The sequence below is a fragment of the Homo sapiens genome, chromosome 21, assembly GCF_000001405.40.
Source record: "Homo sapiens chromosome 21, GRCh38.p14 Primary Assembly".
Lineage (NCBI taxonomy): Eukaryota > Metazoa > Chordata > Mammalia > Primates > Hominidae > Homo > Homo sapiens.
Genome location: NC_000021.9, coordinates 39,652,365 through 39,678,439, shown reverse-complemented (window position 1 = coordinate 39,678,439; position 26,075 = coordinate 39,652,365). Strand labels below are relative to the sequence as shown.

The 26,075-nt window shown below is 48.4% G+C and overlaps 1 protein-coding gene across 8 annotated transcripts in view, besides 6 other annotated features; it reads right to left on the bottom strand.

Annotated features, from left to right (window-relative positions):
• Positions 4,735–5,370: an enhancer, noted in NCBI's record as "H3K27ac-H3K4me1 hESC enhancer chr21:41044997-41045632 (GRCh37/hg19 assembly coordinates)". NCBI's record gives its function as "activates a minimal SCP1, AML or CMV promoter by ChIP-STARR-seq in naive H9 embryonic stem cells {active_cell/tissue: H9 hESC(naive)}" and the evidence as "EXISTENCE:reporter gene assay evidence [ECO:0000049][PMID:30033119]".
• The window catches only part of B3GALT5 (beta-1,3-galactosyltransferase 5), a 60,198-nt gene continuing 39,425 nt past the window's right edge, over positions 5,303–26,075 (bottom strand). For 4 of the 8 annotated variants that reach the window (NM_001356336.2, NM_001278650.2, NM_001356338.2 and 1 more), the window contains 2 exons: positions 18,528–18,687; positions 5,303–17,880 (listed from right to left, as the gene is read on the bottom strand). In NM_001356336.2, coding sequence (NP_001343265.1) covers positions 16,948–17,880 — 933 coding nt within the window. In that variant the 5' untranslated portion in view covers positions 18,528–18,687 and the 3' untranslated portion in view covers positions 5,303–16,947. Of the gene's footprint in view, positions 17,881–18,527; positions 18,688–20,546; positions 20,656–20,840; positions 21,108–26,075 lie in introns of those variants that run through there. The other 4 variants (NM_033171.3, NM_033172.3, NM_006057.3 and 1 more) reach the window with 4 other exon arrangements.
• Positions 20,766–21,287: a promoter, noted in NCBI's record as "1-522 LTR promoter". NCBI's record gives the evidence for it as "EXISTENCE:reporter gene assay evidence [ECO:0000049][PMID:14534330]".
• Positions 20,766–21,287: a mobile genetic element, named in NCBI's record as "B3GALT5 ERV-L LTR promoter".
• Positions 21,235–21,264: a protein binding site, noted in NCBI's record as "GCE (HNF/CDX site); contains HNF-1 site 2". NCBI's record gives its function as "positive regulation of promoter activity" and the evidence as "EXISTENCE:protein binding evidence [ECO:0000024][PMID:12855703, PMID:14534330]".
• Positions 21,235–21,264: a protein binding site, noted in NCBI's record as "GCE (HNF/CDX site)". NCBI's record gives the evidence for it as "EXISTENCE:protein binding evidence [ECO:0000024][PMID:12855703]".
• Positions 21,262–21,286: a transcriptional cis regulatory region, noted in NCBI's record as "HNF-1 site 1". NCBI's record gives its function as "positive regulation of promoter activity" and the evidence as "EXISTENCE:site-directed mutagenesis evidence [ECO:0005528][PMID:14534330]".

The window sequence follows — 26,075 nt, the reverse complement described above, 5'->3', positions numbered from 1 at the left end:
TTATCTTTATTTTGCTGATTAAAAAAAAAAAAATTTGTAGACACCCAGTCTTAGAGAGACTAAGTCTCTTGCTTAAAGTGCGAGGTCCAGAGCTAAGACTAAAACCAATAGTCAGTTTGCAGCCTGGATTTCTGCCACCAGATTTTTTGCCCTGTGTCCTTAGTATTCTCTATAGCATGCCATGGTCCCCACTCTTCCTGGTTTGCAGATAGTCACCTTTTTGGCCTTCTTGCCCTGCCCTCATATGGCAGGGAGAGAGGTCATTTCTCTTGCGTTTCTTCTTATAAAGGCACCTATTGCATTTATGAGGGCTCCACCCCCATAACTGAATTAACTCCCAAAGGCCCCATCTCCTAATACCATTACACTACTGATTAGGGCTTCAACATACGAATCTGAGAGGGGCACATTCAGTCCACAACAGGCCTCATCTCTGCATCCTACCACTTTGGACTCAGTGCTCCTGCTGTGTTGAACCTCATGCCTTCCCCCGCCCCCTGCTTCAGCTCCCCACCCCCTTGCTTCTTTTCACACGCTGGCCTCTCTCCATGGAGCCCCCTTCTCCTCCCATGTGACTAGGTCTTACTTAGGTTTCAGGTTAGACTTCACTTTCTCTGGAAAGCTTTCCTGGCCTCTCAAGAACACTGTTGGAGGCCTGGGGGGTGACTCATTTCTTTAATCCCAGCACTTTGGGAGGCCGAGGTGGGTGGATCATCTGAGGTCAGGAGTTCGAGACCAGCCTGGCCAACATGGCGAAACCCCGTCTCCACTAAAAGTACAAAAATTAGCCAGGCACAGTGGCACGTGCCTGTAGTCCCAGCTACTTGGGAGGCTGAGGCAGGAGAATCACTTGAACCTGGGAGGCAGAGATTGAAGTGAGCCAAGATCGCACCATTGCACTCCAGCCTGGGGGATAGAGCAAGATTCTGTCTCAAAAACAAACAAACAAACAAAAAACATTGTCGGTGCCCTCTCTGTGTGCACCCACTTGCACCCGGCAATATCACGTGGCATTGTAAAGGCCTGTTTACAAACCACTTTCTTAAACAGAAAAGAAGTTCATGACACCAGGAGCTGTGATGCATGATAGGCATCCAACTAAAATGCGTTGATGAATGCTTAGCAAGTGCAAGTCAGTACGCGACTGGAAGTCTGAGCATAGAATTACAGCGTGCCTCCTTTAAGATGTACACCTTTGGGTCTATTTTTGAATTCTAGGCTGTAATGCAGTAAAGTTGAAGTTAAAACTCCAGGGTCAATTTCTAGCTGTATGACTTGGGCAAAAAAGTAAACTTTCTGAGCCTCTGGATAGAATGGTTTTCTCTGCTCTTATATACAGTCTTAACTACGGTCTTCTCTGACATATGGCAGGATCAGCAAATAACACAGAAAGGATTTTGTTGTTGTTTCTTTTTTCGAGACAGAGTCTCACTCTGTTGCCCAGGCTGGAGTGCAGTGGTGCGATCTCAGCTCACTGTAACCTCCGCCTCCCGGGTTTAAGTGATTCTTCTGCCTCAGCCTCCCGAGTAGCTAGGATCACAGGCATGCACCATCATACCCGGCTAATTTTTGTATTTTTGGTAGAGACTGAGTTTCACCATGTTGGCCAGGCTGGTCTCGAACTTCTGACCTCAGGTGATCCGCCCGCCTCGGCCTCCCAAGTGCTGGGATTACAGGCGTGAGCCACCGCGCCTGGCCAAGGTTTTGTTTTTCAATGTAACATCTTACGTGCTATTTATTGTGGCATTCAATATCTAGAAACAGCTAAAATTACAGAGACATGAGTAGGAAGGCTTTGTTTCTGACACCGTTTCCTGTGGACAAGGCAGCTGTGAGTGCTTTTCGTCCTCTGTACAATAGAGAGGTTGGGCCAGGGGATCTCCAGGGTTCCTCCCCTGTCTGACGCTCTTGTTTCTTTCCTGAGATGAGCAAGCATTACCCAAAGCATCGCTGCTAAAAGCACTGATCAGAAATATTCTCTGAACTGAAGTGCAGCCAGGTTCTCATCACTGAAGGGAATCTAATTGTTGAGCTCCAGTCTCCATCTGCACTGACAAAGGACAGTGCCCCAGAAAAGCCTGCAGGGCCGCAGCACTGTTCAAACAACCAGAGAATAAACAGACGCATCTGTCATCTGAGAGCTGGGAGAGGCCTGCCAGAGACAATGTTCCTGGCCACGGATGCCTGACGAAAAGAATGTTTCGTCGTGGTTCAGAGGCGCTGTAAGTCTGAACATGCAAACCGCAATTACCTAGAAACCTAAAGACAGTCAGAAGTGTGTTGTCTTGCGGTTTTCTGCCAAAGTGATTCCTTCCTGTACCTACCTGGTGGTTCTTCACAGGATAGCACAATTGCATAAGGACCTCATGACAATGAGGGCATTTCTTTGTTCGATCATTATGCTGTATGGCTAGAGAAAGTCATCAGGCCATGTAGAGGGAATGGCTGATGTCACGGTTTATTTCTCCTTTGGCGTCCTTAATAATCTAATGCAGGCCACTTGTGTCTGTTGTAAAGTGGGGATAATTCTAGTAGCTATTCAAATGGCATGAAATGAAATACGTCCCCACATTCATTCTTCCAAGACACTGCGTGACGGGAGGCAGGTACCGCTGCCCTCTTTCCTTACACCCTCTCCTGGCTGGGCCCACTCAGCAGCCCCTCCACCAGGTAGTCCTCGCCAGTGCAGTCACAGACCCACCCTCCAGCTCCTAAAGTCAAACGCTCTCAGACTCAAGTCCTTCAAACCACAGGCTCATCCATTTGTTCAGAAAAATGGATTGCTGGGTGGGAGGCGCCGCTGTAAATGCCGTGTAAATGCCGTGGAGTGTGGGCAGGAAGGCAGTGTTTGCACTCATGGAGCTTACAGTCCATAGGGAGAGACAAGAGATGCATAAGTGTCCAGTAAAATGTGGGCAGGGATGAGTGACATGAAGAAAATAGAGCACACTGAAGGAACAAGGCGAGGGTGCAAGAGGTACTCACAGAGGGGGGGGCGGTGTTAGCAGTGGACTTGAATCCCCCCAAGATCCATATGTTGAAGTCCTGACCCCCAGCACCTCAGAATGTGACTGTATTTGGACATCGGGCATTTAAAGAAGTAATCAAGGTAAAATGAGGTCGTCAGGTTGGGCCCTGACCCTATCAGACAGGTGTCCTTGTAAGGACAGGAGATGAGGACACAGACAAAGAAGGATGGCCCCATGAGGACACAAGGGGAAGATGTCATCTGCAAGCCCAGGAGAGGGGTCTCAGGAGGAACCAGCCCTGTGACGGCTTGATCTGGGACGCCAGCCTCCAGGACTGTGAGAGAACCGAGGTCTGTTGTTGAAGCCGACTCGTCTGTGGTGCCCTGTTATGGCATGAGAGGCACCCACGGGAAGGTCCTGGGGAAACACGTGACACTGACGGGGCTGAAGGGGCTGGGCTGCCTGGAGGAAAGTGCAAGGACCGTGTGCTGGCCCAGGGGTGAAAGGCAGGGCATGGTGGGGAGTTGCAGGGGCATTCAGGAGCCAGAGGTCATCTTGTGAGTCATGGTAAGGACTTCACAGTCACATTGAAGGTAAATAAAAACTTCTAGAACAATGAGCAGCAGTGGTCCACGATCTTATTCATGCATTTCAGAGACCACTCTGTGTAGATGAGGCCACACACATGTCAAAGAACGCACAGGGAGCTCACTGGGAGACCCCCGCAGAAGTGTAGGTGACGGATGACAGCGGCCTGGGTGGGGGGCTGAGGGCAGTGAAAACGGCCCGATTTAGGCTCTTCTCCCCTGAGGAGGCTCGGGACCTGCTGCTGCAGGATGTTCAGGAAAGACAGGAGCCAAAGCAAACTCCTGAGCGTGAGGCACTGGCAGCAGAAATACTGAGATAGCAGAGAGGCCAGTCTGAAGGGGAAAAGTGAGAGTTCAGCTTTGCCCATTTTACATCAAAGTGATGCTGCTGAACAGGAACTGGAATATCTGGGTTTGGGGTTCAGTGAAAAGTCAGAGGTCATGACCCATATTTGGGAGCCATCAACATAGAGATGGAATTGAAACCCATGATGTTACAGGTTGAATCATGACCCCTGTCAAAAAAATTCATCTGCTGATGTTCCAACCTCCAGTAGCCAGAGACGGGGTCTCTAAAGAGGTAATCAAGTTAAAATGAGGTCAAGAGGGTGGGCCCAGATCCAATGTGACTGGTGTCCTTATAAAATATAAAAGGAAATGGAGACAGACACACACAAAGGAGAGGCCATGTGCAGAGACAGGAGGAAGGCGCCATCCACACCCCAAGGAGAGAGGCCTCAGGAGGAGCCAGCCCTGACGACACCTTTATCTTGGACACCTGGCCTCCAAGACGACGGGAAGAGAAACACCTGTTGCGTTTCTTTCCAGCTGGATGGCTTGTGTTCTGTTTCCATGGCCCTGAGACAAACGAACACATGGGGAGACAGGTGCTCTGACTGGCAGGCAGTACTGATGGCGAGCGGGAGGCCTGGGGTCTCAGCCAGGGCCCTCCACCATGAGAGGGCGGGACAAGGAGGTGGAGTGAGCCAAAAAGAGTGGAGGGAGCTGCTGGGAGGGGAGGAAAGGCAACAGGCTGAGATGTCCTGGAGCCAGGAGGGTGCGGGAGGGAGCAGGGCAGGCTCCAGTGCCAGGCACTGCCAAGACCTGGCCAGGCAAGCGCCCAGAGTGACACGGTGCTGACCCAACCCAAGTGCTGGTGCGGCCGCAACAGCTAATTCAGGGCCATGGTGGGGGAAAGGAGAGGGGAGCTGAGGTGGCAGCAGAGGGGAAGGCCACTCTTGGGAGGAGCTTTAGCCTTAAGGGAAAAAAGAGAGAGAAAGGCACTACTAGAAAAGGGGAAAGTCCAGCAAGTCATCTTTGAGTGGGCAGTGAGAGCAGGCTTGTGTGCTGAGGAAGGTTCTGGAAGGGAGAAGTGGCCATTGTGGGAGAGGAGATGATGGTGGGCATGGAGTCCCGGAGGAGGGAGCAGCCAGCGAGAAAGGACCAGCCTTCCAGGGTCCAGGGACAGCCCCCACCTTGCCACAGGGGGATGGCAAGGCCGGCTGGTGGGGAGGGAGCAGGAGGGACCCTCATCCTCTGAAGCTGCACCACCCCCCGCCCACCTTCAGGATCCACCACTTCCCCACACACAGTGCTGCACCCCTCCCTCCCTGCCGCCTCCAACTCCAGATTCGTTTCTGAGCGGGTCCTGGATGCAGCCTGCCAGGAGCATCGGTGGGCAGAGATTTCCAGGCCTGCAGTACTGCAGGAACGGTGACCCATGCATGATTAAGTCAGAAACACACATCTGTTTCAGACATTTATTTCCATTTAAATGACACTTTGAAAGATCGAGGAGCCAATCTGTACCGCAAAGACAACTTATCATCAAAGACTCTAGAAGTACAATCGTATCAATTCACAAGACTTGATTTCTTCAACTTAAATGATAGCTTTTAGTTAAAATATACCTGAGAGAAGAACTCCAAAGGATGCCTGCCTCATAATCTGCCCTGGACTTGTCATTCCCGACAGGACACCTCAATGGACACTGCCCCACCCCATTAAGACTCTGAAGCGTAGGGTCCCATTGCTTTGCTTCCGAAATCCAAGGGGAACAAGAAGTACCCATCTCTTACAAAAATAAGCATGTCAACATTGTTCAGTACATTTTTCTACACATATAAAATCAAAATAAATTGTAAAAATATTTTTCCAGGTACAAAATAAATATAGAAAACATCAATGTAAAAACAAAAGGATTGTCCGATTCAGACCATTACCTTGCCAATTTTTCGGGAAGAGTGAATTATCACATCAATCGACAACCTAAAACTCACCTAGTTAAGTGCATTATTTTCATAATTTAATTTTCATTAAAAATAAATATGATTATTAACCAATAATAAGGACATATACCCATTTCCAAAATACAATGACATAAGAGTCTAGCAGATCCCCCTAATATACAAGGAAATGACAGTTTCAAATAGCATTCAGTGACATGTAAATTTAATTTCGTGTCTTTTAGGAAAAGCAAAATTTGACTGCGAAGTCTCCTCTGGTTGCATTAAGTAATTTCCAGTCATGGTAGATTTTAGTGATGTCTTATTTGACCAGGTAAAACAAGTCATCTATTTCCCATCTGATACTCTCTGGAGCCGAATTGAACCAAGTATCACTATGTCTTTGGCTTACCTCTTCGGGGACCCAGGGACTGGACCCCTGAGCCAACAGACCTCACGCTGGCTTCGCTGGCAGGAGGGTCTGCGCCTGGCTGTGTCCACGCCACACTGGCCAACTTAACTCTGCGCTTCTTTGACCAGTGAATGGAGGTAGAATAGATGATGTAAAGCAGTATGACACAAAATGTTGCATTTGGCTATGGAGTTCGTTTTTCTGCTCATATTTAAAAGTGATTGTGTCTGATAAGTAGGAAGATCATTTTTTAAATTAATTAAAAACTAATTTTTTGTTTGTCAGTCTTCCGATTGGCAGGTGCCAGGATGCACTCCAACTTCCTCCTGTTGGCGTGGCTCTTGCCCTGTGCAGAGGGTGGACAGGTTCCCTTCAGCTTCAAGGCCAATCTGAGAGCAAGAGGTCCGTTCCTAGCACTCAGATTTCAACAGCAGGAAAACAGACAGAAATTCATGCCTCTACATTCCCAGGGGCCACACACTGCAAATCCTTCTCTCTACATTCCCAACAGAGAATGTAAGCACCTTTCATATCCCAGAGACATAGTTAAGAGTTTACTTCAAATACACCTCAGCCCATGATAAAGTTCCTAGTGTTCACATACAGATTTTGGGGTCACGTAGAACGAAACAGAAATAAAAACAAGTCCCAACAATAATGAATAAAAGAGGCTTCAGGAACTGATGTTTGAAGGAACCTTACAGCTCACTCCCAGGCCACCATTCTTTCTTGTGATGGGAGTTGCCTTGTGGGTGCCTGAATACCACCTTTGAGAGATCCCCTGAGAACCCAATAGATAATTATCAAGTATCTACTCTCCAGCAGGCACCATGCCAGAGACCCAAACAGAGAGAGGAATCAGGCTGGAAGAACTTTAAAATCTGCCAGGAGCGACACAGCCATGGAAATTGCTATAATGTCCATTCTGATATAACAAACGCTGAAAATTAATTAATTAAAAAAATGTTATGAGAAAGCAAATAATTCCTGCTACAGTTTGAATGTGTCCCCCAAAGTGCATGTGTAAGGAAACTTAATCCCCAGTGCAACAGCGTTGAGAGGTGGGACCTTTTAAGAGGTGACTGGGTCAGGAGGGTTCTGCTGTCATGAATGAATTAATGTTATTATAAGAGGAGGGTCAGTTATTGCCAAGAGTGATTTTATCAAAGCAAGTTTTGCTCTTTTGCCCACAATGACACAGCATGAAGGCCCTCACCAGAGGCCAGTGCCAAGCTCTTGGACTTCCTAGCCTCTAGAACCATGAGCCAGATTAATTTCTATTGTCTATAAATCGCCCAGTCTGTGGTATTCTGTTACAGCAACACAAAACAAACTAAGACACTTCCAAATGGAGGACATGGAGAAAATGTAAACATTGCCTCATCTGTTTTTAAAATGAGGGTGCATGGCAGCTGTTAGATTAAATAATTAACAAGCCTGATTTAATATATCACAGAGCCATAGACTCTTGGCACGGAGGGCCCATGAGAGTCACCAAAGCCTGTTTTTTTTTTTCTTTTGGAACTGTTTATCAAGGATTCTAAATAGTATTGCCTCCTCAGTTCTTGCCTGTAAAAAAAACACGTAGATACTCAATAGGCTGGTTGATCTGTTTCACTTTATTTCACTCTTTCTAAATGTTCTGCCTGAAAGTTGGTGTCACATCCTTCAGAGATGTCTGGAACTGTGGACCACGCCTGCAGCTGGCTTCCACCTTACTGAACATGGGTGTGTGGCACATAGCTGTCATATAACAAATGTGTGACTGATTGTGCAAAGGTGAAAACGAGTGAGGCCCTCAACTCCACCCTGCCACCCCAACAGCTGAGGAGGGCAGTGGGGGTGCCTGCTGTTTTACATCCCAGGTAATTAAACCGCCCCTTGCTCTTCCACTGCCCTTCATGGACACGGGTGGGGCAGTTAACATTGTTCAGAACCAGCTTCCACTGAGCATGGTATCTCTAATTAGAGCCTCAGATCTGTCTGTCTGTCTCTCTCTCTCTCATAGATACACACACACACACACACACACACAGTCTGAGTGTGGCGCCCCCGGGCTTGTTTTGCAAGGGCATTAGATAGGGAGACAGGGAAAGTGGGCTGGACTGAAGAGTTTATTTTCTGAAGCCAGACATTTGTTTGGGCTGCCATTGGACACTTGAGTAACCTCAAGAGAGGGCTGGCCAGGGCAGGACAGGTCAGGGGATCCAGCTAAACGGGAGGTCCTTGGGAATGACACAGATAACTAAGTGCCGAATCCCAGGAGGTCAAACAGGCCCAGGAAGGGGCAGACTGAAACTCATATCAACACTTGGAAAAAAAAAAGTGACAGAAGACAGGAAAAGGGGTCAGGTGGCACACTCCTTGGGCAGGGCTGGTCCCAAGCTTCCTATGAAAGCAGATACATCGGAGGACTCACCACTGTGCCAAGTGGAGAAAAGCAAGGCTGCTCGCGGGAGGCAGCATTTGGAGGCCGAGGGCCTGTGTCTCCACCACGTCTGAGCCCCCGGGGAAGTCACTGAGTCACCTGCCCCTCAGTTTCCTCCTCTTAAATCCAGGGGCATAATTATAAGAATGGTGCCCTCCAGAGGCTGCTGTGGGGTTTCAGTGAAACAGCAGGTATGGATGGACATGGCTTACGATGCCCACAGAGAAGGCACTGGAACGCTTCTTTATTCAGCTGTCAAGGGATCAGGTGCCCCTGATAATCTTCTCAGCATTGTGTATTTACCCAGTGAAAGCTCTGTATGCAAAACCCACGGCCTCGAACCTCAGCTTGACCCTCATTCAGGATGCCCGGTCAAAGCACTGAGCACTCAACAGATGAATAAATAAACGAATGAATGTCTGACATGGGATTTCTGATGCCAGCTTTTAATCCTGGATGTGCCACTCGCTGAAGGACCTGGCAAAGTCACTCCATTTTTCTGAGCTTTGGCTTTCCTAACTGTAAAAGGTTTTATCTTAAAAAAAAAAATACTGTAGATAATTTCTAAGGCATCTTCCAGCTCCAACTTCTTTTACCTCATTCAGATTTTCACATATTCTGAATTAAGAGGGTCAAGAACACAGTGCTCTGATTGTGAAGAATGTCACGAACAGAAGAACTTCTCCAAGAGTTCCAGGAAAGATTCAAATGAAGAAAAAGAACAAGAGCTGAAACAAAGCCCTACAGACTCAATCTGAAGAGTTTTTGATTTGCACAGAGATCACCAGACACTGACAGGTACACTGATAGATAGTGCTGTATACACCACCATAGAATCCACCAAAATTCACAGCCCAAACACTGACTATAATCATAAGCACCTGCATTTACTGAGCACCTACCATGGGATGTTGAGCAGTTTATACTCATCCTCTCATTTAACCCACATGATCATCCCATGAGGCGGGAACTACTATGGTCCCATTCTTCAGATAACAAAACGGAGACAATGAGAAGATAAGTAACTTGCCACTCAAGGGACTTGGCGAGGAAGGTAAAATTCAAACCCAGGCAGCCTGACTCCAGAGCGCAGACCCTGCCCCAGCGAACAGAGCCCGGGGGTGAAGGGTATGCCCAAGGTCACACTGGAGGGCTGAGGCCGAGTTCTAAATGTACCACAGCTGGGTGCCATGCAAGCTTGTCCCTCCCGCATGCATATCTCACTCGCATTGATTCAGAGCAGGAGGGGGAAAAAATGCCTAACACTGAGCACGTGTGAGGATGATGTCATGGGAGGAGGAGGCTACAACTTCCATTGAGACAACCATTTCACACCTGGGCACTCCACACCACGCCATCTTAACAAGACCTCCTTCTTCATATCGTTACTCTGCAAATCACACACAGACCTTGCCCCCCAAATCAGGGATATTTGGAATATATATCCTGAGTTTGCAGAGGCTAGCTTAGAGCCTGGGTCTGCAATGGTGGTCTTGGAGTCTCAGGTCACAGAGGCTGGCCTGGTACCAAGATCTACTAGGATAAGCCTAGATCCTGGGTCTACTTGAGCAAGTTGTAACCTGGGTCCTCTGCAGCCTGGGGCCATGGAGACCTCTCTGGTACTTGGGGTCAGCCCGGTGCTGGGGATAACATGGAGCCTTGGTCTCTGGATCTATTTACCCCAAATCAGGAAATAACCAAGCAAACCCATTGCTGCTAAGCAACCACTGCAGGCCATTAGATACAACATCGCGATAGCAGCCCATGCATTCAGCCTGCACCCAGTGCTAGGCACAGCCGTGCCAAGAACTCAATGTGAATTATCTTAATTTCCACACCTCTGACAACCTTCTGAGGTGAACACTATTATCATCCCATTTTATAGAGATGCAGAGACTGAGGTGCAGAGAGAATGACCACCTGGGGCCACAGCTAGCAAATTGCAGAGCCAGGGCTGGAACCCGGAGGCGGAGGCTTGAGCGGAGATGTAAATGGAATGGGGCCTCCGTAAGTGGGTCGCCCAGCCCTGGAAGCAAGGTCTCCTCTTCCCCAGTTAGTATCCTCCCATGGGCCCTTTTCCCCAGCTTCCCCACCAGGTAGACAGTAACCTGGTGTCCCAGTTACCTCCTTACCGGGTGGGTCTCTATTTTCCATGGCTCCTGCCACCATGGAAGCTGGAGGCTCTGCAAGGCTGTACGTCAGTACAGTTTCTACAGGTGCACAGGGCTAGCTGTGCCCTAAAGAGCGGACGGAATCCACATTCTGCACTTCTAGCTGCACAACCTTGGGGTGTGCACACACACACACAATGCTTCCTTGTTCTTACCATTCCCAGAGGCCATGCTCATATTTGTTAGCTGAAATTTAAAGCTTAGGAAGGAATTTTAATAAATTACTTATGAAACCAAAGTAAACATCGGGATAATTTTTTGCACAAAAATAACCACACTCAAGGGGATCAAAAACTCGCATGAAAATTAATTATTTGGCTTTCCAAGTCCATTTCAGCCCTCTGTGCCAGCCTGTTGGGATAACCGGTGCAGCACCCGGTGCCCGGCGGGAGTTGGAAATCACCAGTCTGACCTCTCACGGACGGCGTGGCCAAAGTTAACTTAGCAAATTGAGGGCACTGCGAAGCTCGTTAAATAGGCAATGACACATGAAACAATGAAAATTGCTGCTCTTGACCACGCTCACCCTCCTGCAGCCTCCAGGGAGGTGGCCTCGGGGCTCACTGACCCTGTGCCAGGAAGCTCTACCCTCAGGACAGGGTGCCAGAGGGCAAGTCACTGGCTTCCCTGGGCCTCTGAGTTTCCTAATCAGATTTGCTGTTTTAAAAAATTACTCCAAATGTCAAGTGGAGGACAGATTGGAAAGTGGCAGGGACAGGCCCGTGGGACCAGTTAGGAGGAGGTGGCTCGAGTCGGGATGAATCCAGACAGGTGTGGGCGGCAAGCCAGAGGTTAGCACAGCGGGCGTGGGATATGGGGCTCAAGGAAAGAAGGCCTGGCAAGTTATTGTTGACTTGGATTTTTCTTTCCTCTCTTTTCACACAGTGTATTATGTGGTTACAATGGTGTGTTTGAAGAGGAGCAGGAATTAAATACATTTAGGGTTTTGTTTTGTTTTTTAAGGCATGGTGGATGCCAGCAGGCTGAAGGGTCAGGAGGTCTGGTCTTCCCACTGCCACTAAGTGCTGAGCTGAAGCACAAATTCTTGAAACATGGCTGGGTGTGGTGGCTCACACCTATAATCCCAGCACTCTGGGAGGCTGAGGCACGTAGATTACCTGAGGTCAGGAGCTCAAGACCAGCCTGGCCAACATGGTGAAACCCCGTCTCTACTAACAATACAAAAATTAGCTGGTTGGTGGTGCATGCCTATAATCCTAGCTACTCGGGAGGCTGAGGCACAAGAACCCAGGAGGTGGAGGTTGCAGTGATCCAAGACTGCACCACTGCACTTCAGCCTAGGTGACAGAGTGAGACTCTGTCTCAAAAACAAACAAACAAAAACAAGAGTTTGCATGACAGTGTAGATGAGACAGGACTGGCCAGGTGTCGGGCTGGAGGACAGGCGCACAGACTGCACCGTGTGATTCTGTCCACCCTGCATTGTGTGAGGTTTTCCGTTTTGGAAGAAAAGGGGTGAAGAGCATGGCTGTGGAGCATTTCTAGGTTTTCAGGTCACAGAGTCGCACCCATTTCCTACTTACTGACTCAAGTGAAACCACAGTGTTGGCTTACTTTGAAAAATATTTCTTTTTTTTCAGTCCTGGTTCACCCATTCCCTTCTAAAACCCACCTACCATACCAATACATTCAGTTCCACTCAACAAATGTTTATTGAGCATCTACTATGTGCTGGGACCATGCTAAGAATCCAAGGTGCGTCAGTGAAGGAAACAGAGAAAGACCCACGGCCCACACAAAGGTTACATTCAAGTTGCGTGAAACATAAACCATAAAATATAGATATGTTATAATAAACAGATATTACATGCTTTGTTAGAAATTGGTAAGTGCAAGGAAAACAATATAAGGTACGGGGCATGGGAGTGAGGTGAGTTGCATTTTCCTACAGGGAGGTCAGGGTAGGCCTCACTGAGAAGGTGACATTGACCAAATGTCAACAAGGCAAAGAAGCGAAGCATGAGAGCATCTGAAGAAAGGGCACTCCCAGCAGAGAGGACAGCCAGTGCCAAGGCTGACGGGGATGGGCACATAGGGCAAAGGGGCTGCTGTGGCTGGAACAGACTGCTGTTCAGGGAACAGCAAGAGGCCAGAGGGAGTGAGCAAAGGGACACGATTAGGGAATCACAGGTAGACAATGGTATGAAGGATGTGGTTTTTATCCTTAATATCCTTGGTGATGGGAAACCTCAGGAGGGTTTTGAGCAGAGAAATGAGATTTTCAAAGGATCACTCTGGATGCTGCTGGGAAGAGACCAAAGGATGCAATAATGGAAGCTGAGGGAGGGTCTGGAGGTAGCTGCACGAATGCAGGTGAGAGGCAATGCAGGCTTGAACAAGGGTGGTCGCAGTGGAGGGGCAGGAGGTGGTTGGCTCCTGGAGAGAATTTGAAGGTAGTTCCCACAGTCTTTCCTGATGCACCAGATGGGAGAGGAGTCGGAATGGCTCCAGGGCTTCCCACTTGAGCTGCAGGAAGATGGAGTGGCCATTACCTGAGACGGGAATGGCTGCAGATGGGCTGGATGTGGGGCAGTTAACCAGAAGGTCAGTGTTGGATTGTTCACTATGGGAAATCAGGTAGGCAGTGGATTGAAGAGCAAGAAAGAGTTCTAGGCTGGAGATAAATGGAAACATCATCAACATATTTAAAGCCATGAGACAAGGTGGGCCCCTCGGAGGACTGGGTATAACCAGGGAAGAAAGGGGGCCCCACGCAGAGCCCAGGATCCTCCAGCACGACACTGTCAGAGCAAAGAGAAGGAGCAAGCAGGGGAGATGGAAAAGGCGAGCAGCAAGGAGGAGGGAGACCAAGAGCACCCGGTGTCCTGGAAGCTGGTGATGAGGACTCGCCACGTCAAGCAGGAGGAGAACAAGAACTGCCCACAGGACCCAGCCACAGGGGGTGGTGGGTGCCCTGAGAAGGGCCATGTGGGTGGAGTGGGGGTGCAGAAGTCTGATGAGACGGCATTTGGGAAAGAAGGGAAGGATTAGGACGAGGCAACAGACAAGTAAAACTCTCGTGCGGGGTTCCACCAGAAACGCAACAGGATGGGGCAGCGGGACGGGGAAGGGGGTCAGGGAAGGGGTCGGGGAAGGTGGTGGCCATTTCTGGTCAGGTGGAAAATGGCAGCGTGTCTGTGTGCTAATGGGGTGATCCAGCAGAGGGGACAGCAGGTGGTAGGACGAGAGTGAGGCCACATCAGGAGCTGTGGAAGAAGAGCTGGAGTCAGTCCAATACCAGGGGTTCTGGCACCACGGGGGCCAAGTGGCTTCTGCCACAGTCACAGTAGAAGGCAGAGTACGGAGGTTTGGGGGCTGGGTGTAGGCGTGTATGGTTGGGGGAGTCTGAGGAGGCACCCCAGAGAGGCAGTGGGAGCAGCCAATGCAATGTGCTCCCACAGCTCCGTCAGCAGGTGGCTGGGGAGGCCACAGGGCAGCTTAGGGTCACCCCGTTTCCACCACTTTTCACCTATGTAACCTTGAATGAGTTGTTCACCCTCTCTCTCTCTGCCTCAGTTTCCTAATCTGTAAACCTGAGCAACTGCAGGTCTCTGCCCCCGGAAAACTCATTGAGAGCATGTAGATGAGGCAATACCTACACAGCCCCTAGCTCAGCACCTGCCCATCGGAATCCTTCCTCTCTGGGTGCCTGCGGTGAAGCCCCGGCCCGGCCAACCTGGACCTCTCCATTCCCACTCTGGAGCTAGCGCTGGGTGTTCCTGGGGAAGCACTGCTTGGCCTCCTCACTCATGCTTTCACATTGTTTCTCACTCTCACATCCAGACAAGACAGCACCAGGAAACCCACGCTGAGCTGGAACCCTCCTTCTGCAACAAACAAGCTGGGAAGGTCCTGGGCAAGTTGTTACGTCTCTCTGAGCCTCGTTTGCATCCCACATAAAAGAGGAGGCAGGATTGAATGAGCTCTAAGGTTCCTTCAAGTTCTAGATTCATGAAATAATGTTTTTTCCTCAAGAAAAAGAATTATTCATTGTATAAAGAAATACACACCTGTAATCCCAACTACCCACTGGCTGAGGCAGGAGGCTCGTTTGAGGCTCGTTGAGTTCAAGGCTGCAGCGAGATCAGGCCACTACGCTCCAGCTTGGGTGACAGGGTGAGACCCTGTCAGAAAAAAAGAAAAGAAAAGAAGAGGGAAGGGGATGGGAGGGGAGGGGAGGGGAGGGGAAACAATGGGTCTCAAAGAAAATCCTTTAAGAACACACAGAAGCAGTAGGGAGAGCCCACGCCTGTCCTCATTTGTCCCTGGAGCTGTGGGCTGTGAGCTGATGCTGTGAAGGCCAGACCCAAAGCCAGTCACACAGAGGCAGCAGCTGGACCGGCCTCGCCGACTGAGACCAGTGGCCACACAGACACACACCTGACAAGGTAGACCACGAAACACAGACGCAGGCCTACTGCCAAACAGACGACTTCTCCCTCAAAGCACAGTCATCTTCAGAATGAGAGGCGGCCCATCCTATGGAACCGAGAGGCGTGGCTCTTAAATTTGGGCTTCAAAAGACAAGCTCAGTCCCTGATTTTTTCCACCTGAGAAGGAGGCTTTTCTGAACATGACCCAGTGCGTTCAGAGCAGCCAGGATGAGGAAACACATCTACAAAGAAGCAGCTTAATCCAAACACAAGAAATGGTATGCAAAATAGGATATCAGACGTACTTTTGCAATTGAACATGGTCAAAACCATTTTGCAGCAAGTAACTTTTCCTGAGTTCAAGTAAGAGTTTAGTCCAACATTTATATGTGACACAGCCATGTGAGGCCTCTTCTCTGAGTACAAAGTAAAGTCTGGTAAAGTAAAAAATTAAAAGAAAAATCATTTCTATAATTAGGAGCAAGATTACTTTGCATGTCACGTGACCATGGCTGAATGGGCAAAACTAACGAAGTACCTTGGTTTTATACAACCCTGCAACACAGGCTCGCACAAACCTCTGGGTAGGAGGCAGCGGAGCAAACTGAAGGCTAAACAGCAAACCACAAAGTTCAGTTGTTCCTCGGCCAAATGAGACATTCAATGAAGATGAGCTTGGCTCAGGCTTGGGAAGTGGACGCAGGACCACCCTGCTTCACCAGGGCCCACTTTAGGGCTCTGAGCCCGAGGGGTCCTTGAGAGCATCCTGACTTGACTCCAACTGAATTCCCAGAAAGCTCCCAGAATCCCACATGAACCCCATCTGAGTTCAACTGTCCTTCAGTTTGAACTGAGAGCCCTAAAGTGCTCCTGGGGCAGTGGCTGGTCCCCATTGATCAAAAACAAGGGACAGTTGGGGTGATGAAATGAGAGAGCAGCAGATGGCTCAGAAGGGATGTCCTGCTCGCTAGGCAGGTCAGCAGTGTGGGCAGTCTGTACAGCAGGTCAGAATGCAGTGGTTTCTGAGCCTAATTTATACATTTATAAGAACTCTGTCCAGAGCTGGGTGTTCCTCAGCATGTGAGCTGCATCCACTGCGGGGACATTTCCTCGGATGAAACTTGGGTTGTGTTGAGTACCGAGCCGATAACATGGACTCAATCCCAGCTACATCCAGCCCTGTGAATGAAGGAGCTGGGGTGAATTTGGTCATCCCAGGCTTAGCTCCAAAAAGCACAAGGACTGGGAGCTGAGGTGGAGGGGACTCGACAGGGATGGAAGGATGCCGGCTCCGAGACCTCATCATCAGTGTCCCCTCCTAAGGGAGGCAGCACGTGGGAGTGGTTCAAGTCAGGGGCTGCCCACCAGATTCTGACAGTGCTCGATTTTCATTCCCGCTCCTATGCCTACTGGCTGTGAGCCTTGGGACAAGTTTCTGTACCTCTCGCAGCTGCTGTGTCCTTGCCTGTAAAATTAGGATGGTAACACCCATCATGTCATAGGATACTGACCCCTGAAATGCAAAAATCCAGGTGTATGTCAAACACTTAGTATGAAGAGTGTGCGTGCCCAAGAGACGGGCCTATTATTGCCTGGGGCACCAAGTGGGAACTAATCAGTGACTTCATGAACACCGACATTCTGGCGTGGATTTCAGCACTGAAGAACAGCATCCTCTGTCCCGCCCCCTCTTCCAAAATCTAGCAAAAACTATCCCCACGGGTTATCTGAAACTTGTCCGGATGTGCCTCTGGGCTCCCCTCAGACAGGCGGACAATCTTCCCCCCGGGAATTCTCTAGAGCCTGCCAGTAGTCCAAGAGAGTCCGAGGCTTGATGAAGTGGCAGGCCACGATCCTCCTGAAGAGGCATACGGAGAAGCGTAAGCCCCCTGGAAAAAAGGTCGGCTGGGAGTGGAGCTCCTCCAATCTGATGTTCAGCCTTTCGAGGCAGAGCCCCACAAACACGTCTTCCAGTTTAATGTATGGGACGCTCTTGGAGACATTGTACACCTGACTCGCCACGTCGCCAGAAAACACGTAGCCGGTGCCGGAGCAGAATGGTGGGTACCTGTCCCACGGATATTCAGATTTACTGACAAACCACTTGCTGAATGGCTGCCTGATGGGAAACTCATTGAGTTTCAAGAAGCCAGTGAAAAACCTGGTTGTTCTGTTTTTCTTCAGAAGCAGTTCAGTCAGATAGTCAACATTGATGAACATGTCTGAGTCTGTTTTCATCACAAACGCCGCCTGAGGACAAAAGCGATGGACCCATTCTATGCCCATCATGGTCTTCAGGGTCAGATTGTAATAGACGTCTAGGAAATCCTTCTGGATAATGTCCCCGTGTCGCTGGCTCTCCTGGTCCACCTCTTTCGTTTCCGCTGCACTGCTGGTGGTCCCCAGGAGGAAGAATGTCTTCAGCTGCTTTCCCTTCACCATCCTCTCTTTCCCCCACGTCTGCCGGATGGCCATGCGCTCAGCCAACTGTTTGTGGGATGAGGTCACCAGCAGGACGAGGAAGGGAGGTGTCTGCCTGCAGTCTGTATCTGGGAGCTTAAGGAAGTTCCCGTCTTTCTTGTAAACAAAGGACTGTTCTTTGAAAGGATTTAGACTGTACATGCTAAAATACAAACAAAGAGCCCCCAGAACCAGAAGGCAAATATACATCAATCTCATCTTCGGGAAAGCCATCTGAAAGGAACAAAATCCAATGATTAGACCTCAAAAGCATGAGGATGTGTCTAGTTTTATGCTAGGAGGCTGAGGTGGGAGAGGAGACCCGTGTTTTGGAAACTCTAGAACCTCGCTGCATACAGAAGTCGGGTGCTGTGTGGTTAAACAGTTAAGCACAAAGGTCTAACATCTGCCAGCATCTGTCACTTCATGGTGTAAGATAAAAAGCTCAGAGATTCTGGGCATTGGTCCAGGCTCTGCAGCCCTTAACCTACGGGAGTCTCCAATTGCCTGTCTGTAGGGATATGGCACCAGGTCCCTCACTCGGTCCTCCAGCTCTGCCCTTCTATGACTCCATGATGAAGCGCAGCAAAACAAGCTGCAGGTCTGGAAACCACGCATTGTAGATCTAAATGTATGGACCACTTGCATTCTTCTCTGATCTAATTAAGCAGCATTCCTGCTCCCAGAAAAAAGCAAGTCCAGTGTTCTGATGTGCACAAGTACCTTCAAATTCTGTCTCTGCCAGAATTATTTTTTTTTAAGTTACTTTTTACAGTCTCTGATCTGATTCTTTCCTGTTCTGCCCACCCGTCTCTGCTATCCTCGGCAAGTTCAGGATCATCCATGGTAACGTTATAACATTAAGAAAGCGTATAACTCACTTTTTGCTGGGTAAGAGGAACCTCTGGTTTGAAAGCTAAAGCCACAGTGTAAATGCCAAGAGGAAATTTGTCTCAAAGAACTGTCAGTGTAGAATGCTCCATAATTATCAGGTTCTGGGCTTGGTTTGTTTACCAAAAATGGTGATTCTGACAGGAATCACTAGGAAAAAAAAAAAAAGAGTGTCATTCAAATCACTCGTGCCTTACCAGCAGGCCTTCACAATTTACCGTGTCTGTAGCGTCACCTTCCAACCTACTTATGTGACTCTGAGCACGCATTTGAGCCCCAATCCCAGCCTCACTTTTCTCATCTGTAAAATGGGTATGATCAAGGCAAACAAAGTCCACAACAGTAACAATATGCCAATCCCCCAGAATCCTTCAAGCCTAATAAGTTAGGATAGCACCTAGCAGCTTTTTAAAGAGACATGATAAACTCATAAATTAGAGTCTCACTTCTCATCCTGATAATTTACCTTATTTACATAACAGAGTCTGTAGTTAATGCTGAGAGAATTTAACACAGAGAATAAATCCAATTCTTAACACAATAGCGGCACTTTAAAAATGTTACCCTGGGTGAGAGGACAGAGAGGACAGCAAGAAATGAAACTGAAAGAGTGAAAAGCAGAGTTGGTTTGGGCTTTTTAATTTTAATATTTCAGAGACCTGATGTCACTCTGTCTCCCAGGCTGGAGCACAGTAGCACAATCATAGCTCACTACAGCCCTGAACTCCTGGGCTCAAGCGATCCTCCTGTGACTTGGGTCACAGCTTCCCAAGTAGCTGTGACCACAGGCGCATGCCACCATACTCTTCTAACTTTGTATTTTTTGTAGAGATGGGGTTTCACTATGTTGCCCAGGCTAGTCTCAAACTCCTGGGCTCACGCAGTCCCCTGCCTTGGCCTCCCAAAACACTGGAATTACAAGGGCAAGCCACTGTGCCCAGCCAAGAGCTGGTTATTTTGATGGCCAAAAGAGCACCTGAAAATTTCATTGTCAAAATTCTGTTCTACATATATTCGCCAAAAGCAATAGGAATATAATAATGGAGCTTTCTAGAACCAGCTCGCTCTCCAGGGACTTCTTTCCTGGAGGCAAACTTAGCCAACTACCTGCTCTGCTTGGCACCCCTGGGGAGTTCCTGCCCAGCTCCTGCCCCCAGCAACTTCAGAGAAATCACAGCAGAAGGCAAGCAGGAGACCAGAACTTGTCTGAACTGGTGCTCCAGGATGCTGCAAAGTTTCTTTCTTTCTTTTCTTTCTTTCCTTCCTTCTCTCCTTCCTTCCTTTACTTTTCTTTCTCTTTCTCTCCTTCTTTCTCTCTTTCATTATTTATTTGCATGGCTAAGATATGCAGCTGATTAGGGGGGTTGGGGGACTGCTTTCTCCCCCACAATACATTTTAGAGAGAAACATAAAAACCAAGTGCAAGGGAAAGAAGATATTTTTCTACTTTGTTTCCTTGCTTGAATAATTCTGCTCCTTTTCTATGGGTTGCTTTAACAGTAAACCTTAAATTCTCATTCTCTCTGATGTGCCTCTCCTCAGGACCCTTCACAGGGCTCTAAATTCCCAGGGATGGGCGCTCACCTCATGCAGTGCATTGGCCAAACTGTTTCCCAGGAGGCAGAGCAGGTGCCAAACCCAACTGGCAGAGCAGGTGCCAAACCCAAATGACCCGGGGTCATTTGTTTTCATGGGCAGTTGAACATTTTTCCTGCCTAAAGTGGAGTTACCACCAGAAGTCACAGCTCAGAATCCTCATATATGAGACATCTGCATCTTTGGCTGAGTCTGTATTGGGCCTAAAGAGGACCTGGGGGCCAGCCTTCCACTGAAGGAGGAGGTAGGGGCACCTGCAGCACCAGCAGACAGAGCCTGGAAAGGGCAGCCTGTGTCCCCAGATCCTAGCCACCCCAGGCCAGCTGCAAAGCAGAAGCCCTCAGCACAAGCTAGCTCTGCCTTACCTGGGACAGAGCCATGAACAGGCACTATCTGTGCTACAGAAGCCCTACCTCCAAACACATCTAGACCACCAGGCTGTATGGCCTGACCAGCCAGTCAATAACGGAATGGCAGTTTCTCCAGCAGATTCTGCACTCCAGGTGTATTAGTCAGGGTTCTCTAGAGAGATCGAATCAACAGGTTATGGATAGATAGAAAGATTGATAGGTAGATTAATCAAAAGATAGATAGGCAGGTAGGTAGGTAAGTCGGTAGGTAGACAGATAGATAGATAGACAGACAGATAGATGAGAAGAAATTTCTTAGAAGAATTGGCTAGCGTGATTACGGAGGTTGGGAAATACCGTGACAGGCCATGCAAGCTGGAGACGCTGGGATGCCAGGAGTGTGGCTCAGTCCAAGACCAAGAGCCTCAGAACCAGATATGCCAATGGTGTAACTATCAGTCCAAGGCCAAAGGCCTGAGAACCCAGAAACCTGCTTGGTATAAATCCTCGGGTCCAAAGGCCAGAGAGCCTGCAGCTCTGATGTCCAAGGGCAGGAGAAGAAGAATATCCCAGCTCCAGCAGAGAAAGAGGAATTCACATTTCTTCTGCCTTCTTGTTCTATCTGGGCCCAGTCAATGGATGGTGCCTGCCCACATGGAGGGCAGCTCCTCCCCACTCAGCCCACTGACTCACAGCCAATCTCCTCTGGAAACACCTTCACAAACACACCCAGAAATAATGCTTTACCAGTTCTCTAGGTATTTATTAATCCAGCCAAGTTGACACCTAAAAGTAACCATCACACCAGGCTTTGCTCTGTAACTCATGAGCAATATAGATGCCAGGAGAGAACCTTGGAACTGAAGGAGATAAATACAGTGCAGAACGTGTAGACCTCCCTTCTCCTCTGCCTCTGCCTGCTGCAGGCTCCTCTGAGTGTATCCCATCTGCTGGCTCCCGCCCTCTGCCTAGGTCACTGCCCCCCTTCTGGCCATAGTGCCTGAAGGGCAAGGGGTATGTCTTACATCCCTCCTGAAACCCCAGAGAACTGTGCACAAGCTGGTTGCTGGGTACATTTTGAATTAAAGTGGAACAAGTAAGTAACACACAAAGCTAGAGCCGTCAGGATAGGGAAAGGCTCTCTAACGGGAAATCTGGGCATCAGCATCCTACCCGCACAGGCACGTGCAGCGTCCTGGGACTCTCCCCAGGCCAGGTGAGGAGACCTTGCCTTAAGCCTGACCTGAGGCTACAGGGCACAGAGACAAAGGAATCAGAAGTCCACCTCTCTAAGGACTGGAAAACTGAAGGGGGGGTCTGGAAAGTTAAGTTCAAGATGCACTTCCTGGACCTGAAAGGAGAGATCTGGAGTGAAGGGACAATGGCCAAGCCCCACTATGAGGCCAGAAAGAGTATGCAAGGACAAAGCACTCAGCTCAAGGGGTCTCCAGGGGCTGTGGCCCTCGGTGGAGAGGAAGCTGGTGAGCATTCTGAGCCCCGTGAAGGACGTGGCATCTGCACTGGTCCTTGAAGGGGAGGTGTGATGTAACAGGTGGAACCAGGGGATGGGAATTCCAGACCAAGGAAACCCGGGGAGGGTGTTGGCAGTCCTGAGTGCTAGAGTCTGCTTTCAGGACACTCGCTCCAGATCACTGTCTTGTATCCTTGGAGATTCTCACCACCGCATAGGCCTTGGGAGAACAGAACAGCATCACCAGGAACGCAGAAGGAACAACATCAACGTCCCTGCTGTCTGAACAACCCCACGGTTCTCAAATCCAGTGAGTGTCAGAATCACCCGGGAGGCTTGTTTAAAACCCAGGTTGAAAGGTTCCATCTCACAGAGATTCTGGCAGGTCTGGGGCCCAGGAATCTATATTTTAACATGCGGTCATTCTACTCTAGGCTGGCCTGGTAAAAAACGCCAGTGGAAACTGCCTGTACAGACCCGACCAGTAACAGGCACCACGTATAAACAAGGTCGAAGACCCCAGACCACTGTGCCCACCTTAACATTTCAGTGGATTCGTTGTACAGACTGAAAATATCCCTTCCCCTGGAGAAGGTGGAAAAGAGCATGACGGGGGTGGACGAGAACGATGCTTCTCCACTGGAAACTGGGATGGGGTAAACTCCCGTGTCACACATGGCCTGGAGCCTCCCCGCAGCTGACCCCAGACTGACGCCAGCCTGGCTGGGCCTTTGGAGGCCTGGGCTTTCTCAGAGGAAAGACATTTTAGGAGGCAAATTTTCCACGAGACTAGTGAAGCTAAGCTGCAGGACGACTCACCTCTGCTGTTTTCTTTTCCTTAAAGAGGAATGCCCCCCACCCCAATTGTATAAGCTTCAGACCCCATCAGACCTGGACCTACCCCTGGCCTCAAGCAGAGAGAATCTCCCAAGTGAGCTGAAGTGAGCAACCAGGGTGACCCTCTAAGTAATTAAGAAGTCACAGGGCGGAGGGAGATTCTCAGCAACTGTCCAGGCCCACACTGGGCTGGCAACCCCAAGTCCTCCCGGCACCCAGCTCCCTGCCCACTGGAGGTGGGCTGAGCATCAGTGTTAGAAGCAGAGAGGGTTTTGCAGCTCTTGCAGCACGATGGTGAATGTTATGTGCCAGCTTTTCTGGGTCACTCAGTTGACAGCCTGAACAGAACAAAATGCTGACCCTCTCGTGAGTAAAAGGAAAGTTCTCCTGCCTGACTGCCTGGAGCTGGGCCTTCAGTCTTTTCCTGCCTTCGGACTTGAACTGAAACATCAGCTCTTCCTGGGTCCAGAGCTTGCCAGCTTTTGGCTCTCCTGGTTCTCAGGCCTTCAAACACAGACTGGGGCCACACCATCGACTCTCATGGGTCTCCAACTTGCTGACTGCAGATCTTGGGACTTTCCAGCCTCCATCATTGCATGAGCATTTCCTCATGATAAATTTCTTTCTGTATACAGGTGTACCCAAGAGATAATGTAGTTTCCATTACAGACTACTGCAATAAAGCAAATATCATAAAAGAGCAAATACTTTTATCTCCCAGTGCATTTAAAGTTATGTTTACAATATACTGGAGTCTATTAAATGCATAATAGCATTATGCCTAAAAAATAACATACATATCTTACGTAAAAATACTTTATTGCTTAAAAAAATGCTAATGTTCATCTGATCCTTTAGAGAATCATAATCTTTTTACTGCTGGAGGTTCTCGCCTCAATGTGGATGGCTCCTGACTGATCAGGGTCATGGTTGTTGAAGGTTGGGGTGGTCGTGACAATTTCTTAAAATACGACAACAATGAAGTTTGCCACATCAATTGACTCTTCCTTTCATGATAGATTTCTCTGTAGCATGCGACGCCATTTGATAGCATTTTACCCACAGAAGAACTTATTTTGAAATTGGAATCGATCCTCTCGAATCCTGCTACTGCTTCATCAACTAACTCTATGTAACACTGTAAATTCTTTCTTGTCATTTCAACAATGTTCACAGCATCTTCACCAGGAGTAGATTCCATTTCAAGAAACCACCTTCTTTGTTCATCATAAGAGGCAGCTCCTCATCCACTGAAGTTTTATCATGAAGTCGACCATGGTGGCTCATCCCTGTAATCCTAGCACTTTGGGAGCCCAAGGCAGGCAGATCACTTGAGGCCAGCAGTTCAAGACTAGCCTGGCCAACATGGCAAAACCCTATCTCTACAAAAAATTAGCCAGGAGTGGTGGCACACACCTGTAATCCCAGCTACTTGGGAAGCAACTGTATTTCTCCTACCTTGCTAGCAGGCATGTAAATTAACACACTTTGGAAAGCTGTATATACCTTGGCAGTTTCTGCTACAGATAAACGTATGTGCTATGATCTAGCAAATCATTCCTGCACACAGACCCAGCAGCAATTATTGCTTATGTCCACTAAGACATGATCAAGAATGTTCACAGCAGCATTGCTCATAATTGCAAAAAATTATTGTATCAATCTAGATCCAAACAGGAGAGAAAAACCACTTAGTACCTTGACCAGGGAAAGTCAAATACAAAGAATCATTTACTATAATAAGGGAGTGGAGTAATGAGAGACTAACAGTAATAAAATCAAGACAGTTCCAAAGAATATACAAACAACCATATATAAGGAATGGTCACTGCCCCTAGGGCTGAGATTGAGCAACTGAGAAAATGCCCCCAATCCCAGGGCTGAGATCTAGACCCCACTAAAAGGGCACAGCTATGCCCACTGAATGGCAGAGACATCACTGCAGATCCACATTAGAGGAACATGTTTGGAATCCACCCTCTGGAACTTGCCAGAAATCTGCCCTCTAGGTTGCAAGGAAAGCAGTTCACCAGTTGTCTCACAGATGCACTCTGCTACAAAACACCTAGCGGGTGTACCCGGGGAAACTGCTGTCTTGCCAAGTACTCCTGTAACACCACAGGGGCTACCAAACCAGCGTCCCTGAACCAGGAAGGAAAAACTGTTTCCCCTGCAATGCCCCTCCAGGACCCTCCACTGATAAGCTTCAAGAGCCAGATTGCAAAGGGAAAATATTTAGAGGGCCCAGACCCATTTCCAGAGACCAGGCAAAAAGGGTGAATTTGGAGCCAAGAGGCAATAAATTGATAACACAACTCTAGTCAAGAAATTTCCATCAACAGCAGAATGAATGAATGAAATGCTACACAGCCATAAAAACTACAAACTATTGACATGCGATGTATTAATCTGACAGATGTTATGTTGAGTGAAAAGAGCTAGACATGAAATGATTCCATTTATATGAAGTTCAAAACCAGGAAAAACTTATCAATGATGAAGGAAGTCAGCAGAATGTTTATCTTTGGTGGAGAATTATTGACTGCAAGGGAACAGAGGAACCTCTGGAGAGACGAATACATTCTATTCTAGATCTCGGTGGTGATTACATGGGTGGAAATATATGTAAAAACTCATTGAGCCATGTAGCGAAGATTTGCACACTTCACTATATGCAAATTGTACCATGTTAATATTTTTAAATAAGTTTAATTAAAAATAAATCTCTGAAAAAGACACATGTTCTGTAGAATTGCCCAAATTTATTTGACCACAAATCCGACTATTTCTGGGAGAGCATTTCATGGGCCAGTGTCTCACAAAACAGATTCCAGGAAATAAAGTCTGGAGTTTGCTTTTTTTGTCAGCTCTGAAGTTCTTGCAGCTGCTTTTACACATCAGTTGGCCAGATATTGAAGGCAGGATCCTTGATCAAACTGTGAAGTTTGCTATGATGATTCTCATAATATTTCACTAATTGCCAAATCAATATCTACTCTGTTTTCCATTATAAATCAGCTGAAGAAGCTGCAGAGCAGATACAGGAGTCCCCTTCTGCTAACCGCAGGCAGCCTGCTAGGATGAAAGGAATGAGGAATTTGGAATCAGAAGGCCCTGGTTCACATCTCAGCTCAAACACAGTGGTGGTGTAGCACGGCCCAGGGCACTTACGTGTTCTACACCTGTGCCCTTGTGCCAAACTGGCAATAACACTGCCTGCCTCACAGAACGGTTGGGAAGTGCTGCATGCCCAGCAGTAATTATTTCCGTCCTAACAAACCTCA